Genomic DNA, 3,012 nt, shown 5'->3' with positions numbered 1-3,012 from the left:
GGACTTTTCTCTAAGGTAGAACTAATTAGACCATAGTTGGTTCTCATCCAAGTTTGAATAACCGCATTTATGTGTAGTTTTTCTCATCTGATAGTTTATTATAAAACAGGGAAATGGGAAAGGTACAGGAACAGACAAACCTATATTGGAATCCTTGTGTCCAATGGGTTCACAGCCCACTTCAGTCCTGAGATGGCAAGAATAAAAACAGTCAGACCCACTTTTCCTTTTCCCCCTTTTGTTGGCACATCCTCAAGGCCCTAATGACCTGTATTCTTTCCATTGAGTTCATGGACTTCAGACAATCCATGTGTATTTACAATTGTCATATATAACCCACCCCCAAAAGGTTTCATTTCCTTTTGATCACTATTGCCTATTCTCCAACGTTTTTATGTATCGTAAGTATTGCAAAGCCTCTTGACTCCAGTGCAGCATTTTCTCTGACATATTAGAGTCTCAGCCCCCTCTGGGGTGAGGGGCTTCAGAGTGGCCATCCACACCATTTTTTGTTCAGCCATGGTTTCTTGGGCTCCTGGAGACCTGCTGGCAATGGGAATGAGGAGGAAGGAAGGATGGGAGTGCTAAGGTCCCAAGAGACTCCCAGTTAATAATACGGATTTTGACCCTAACTGCTTTTTTGGGGTGACTGCCAAAGTCATGATGGGATTAAGATAATTGTCTGGGGAGGCCTCACAGTGCAAAGGCAGAAAGCAATCGGCAGGTCTCCAGTGAGAAGTATCCGGGAAAAATGCTGTGAGTTCCAAGCTTGCCAATGTCTGAAACATGGAGAAGAATGACAGGATGTTCACAGTAGAGCAATAAAAATGATTGAGCCTCCAGAGAGACAGATTTATGACAAAAGCTCTATGAGCTAAGTACATTTTATTGTGGCCCAGCAGAGCAAGTGAAGACAGAGGGGAGGGGTCTCTGCAGAAGACCGAGTATGAGAGAGTGGTTGGGATAGAGGTGGACTTTGAAGGCAGGGAGAGAAACCAGGAAGTAAGGAGAGAGAATCTGAAGAAAGGGAGAAAAAAGGTAGGGAAGAAAAATAATTTTGGGGAAAAACGATGAGGACCCTTGTGCAGCTGCAAGAGGCCTAGAAACCAGGTGTTAGTTGGGGAAGGCTTGAGATTGCCAGGGTTGGCTGCATCATTAGATTGCTCATCACCTTTCTCCCAAGGTCAGACCTGGGGTCCTTTCCACAGCATCTTCCTAGTCCCCTGCCCTGGGGATTCTCCGTCCCTCTGCTGCCTGGAGTCACAGACAGCTAGATGTACTGCCTCCCCCCAAACTGTGAGCTTCCTGGGAAACCAGCATCCAGCTCAGGGCTGTGCATAGAGTTAGGTGTCCCAGGAAGCACTACGTTTGGGGTAGAAAGGGCTATGCTGGGAGTAGTTTAGTGATGCTTAAACGTTCCTCAGAAGCCCCTGCCTTGGTGCCTGCCTTTATTCCCATCCAAGAAGGCCTCTGGCTGTGGAAACCTCTTTATGTTGCATTTAATAGAAGCGATAGGCCAGTGAGAAATGATGCTCTGAGACCCAGGACTGAGCTCTGGTGGAGTAGTATGAGGTTGAATTGTTGGAGAAGTGTCTCCAATTCCACTTCCAAAATTACAGTGTAAAGCTCTTCAAAGAAGAGACGAAATAAGGATAATCATAATAGTCACGGTGAGGTCCCACATTTCTATACCACTTAAAGGTCATGGAAAGCTTTCACAGCCACTAACCATTTGCCCTTGTAGCATCCTTGCCTATCTCAGTGGGTTGTCAGGCAAATCAAAGGTTTCCCCCAGGAACTGAGACTACAGGCATGCCCCATTTTAAGCAAATCCTGCTGTGAGCATTTAGCTAAAGAAAGCCTGCTTCACAGAGGAATTTAACAGGGTTATTTGAAATGGTGGGTTCCCCCAGCATGTGAAGAAATAAGAGGCAATTTGCTAGAATGCTTGATTGATTGACACATATCCTGTCCAGAACCAGCTGTATGCTTGTAGTGCCTAATGTGTGCTGAGTGTGGCTAATTGTGCTGGGTGATGTGGGGATGAATCTGATGAGGTCTATGCTCAAGAGAGAACTCTTTGCATCTTTGGGTTCATTCCCCAGTCCCCTTAACCTCCCTCCACTCCCCCTGCCCCCATCAATTTCACAGACAGTTATCTCAGGAACTCTTAACCCTAACCCTAACTCTAACCCTAACTTGAACCCTAACCATAATCCTAACTGTAAACGTAAGATGGCCAGCATCAAACTGGGCCAGAAACCTTCTCTGACACCTTGGTCTTAGGACTTGAAAAGAGAGGCAGCTCCTCTGCAGGGCACTGAGCTGTAAGATGTGACACTTGGGAGCTGGGGGAGGTCATGCTTGCTGTCTTGGGGAGAGGGTGAGTCTTTACTGAGGAAGAATAGGCCACACGAAGAGAAGAGAGATGAGGGAGGTGGAGAGATGCCTAGTGCATTTGGGGCTCCAGTTCTCAGTCTTCTGACCTTTCCTATAGCTTTGTTGTCCAACTCTACAATCTATGATCCAATCACTTCTGTCTTTCAATTTAAGCTAGTTCAAGTTAGGTTTCCTTCACTTGCAGTCAAATGAATCATTAATAAAATCCTTTGCTGAAGGGAGACAAGATGTCCATGCATAGTGTCTTTGGTATTTGCAAAGGCAGTCGAATGTGGTGGTTGAGAATTAGGCGTCAAACATCTGAGCAGCAATGATTGAAAATACCCAAATGTTGACCAAATGGAGATCACTTACAAAAATATTGGCATTTATTCATACAAGGAACTCTGATGCAGCTGCAGAAAATAAAGAATGAGTTGCTTTCTAGTCCGATATAGAAAGAGCTCCAATCTGCTTTGTTAAGTTAAAAAAGTATAGTGCGTGATGAGATATGACTGTATGTATTAGTCAGGGTTCTTGAAAGGAACAGAACTAATAGGATAGCTGTATATATGAAGGAGAGTTTATTAGGAGAATTGACTCACACGATCACAAGGTGAAGTCCCACAATAT

The 3,012-nt window shown here is 44.9% G+C and overlaps 1 annotated feature.

The window, feature by feature from the left end:
- Nucleotides 1,511-2,159: an enhancer, noted in NCBI's record as "OCT4-NANOG hESC enhancer chr10:80635056-80635704 (GRCh37/hg19 assembly coordinates)". NCBI's record gives its function as "activates a minimal SCP1, AML or CMV promoter by ChIP-STARR-seq in naive H9 embryonic stem cells {active_cell/tissue: H9 hESC(naive)}" and the evidence as "EXISTENCE:reporter gene assay evidence [ECO:0000049][PMID:30033119]".

Source organism: Homo sapiens, chromosome 10 (genome assembly GCF_000001405.40).
Source record: "Homo sapiens chromosome 10, GRCh38.p14 Primary Assembly".
NCBI lineage: Eukaryota > Metazoa > Chordata > Mammalia > Primates > Hominidae > Homo > Homo sapiens.
Note: the sequence above shows the minus strand (reverse complement) of the source record. Positions and strands in the feature narration are given on the sequence as shown.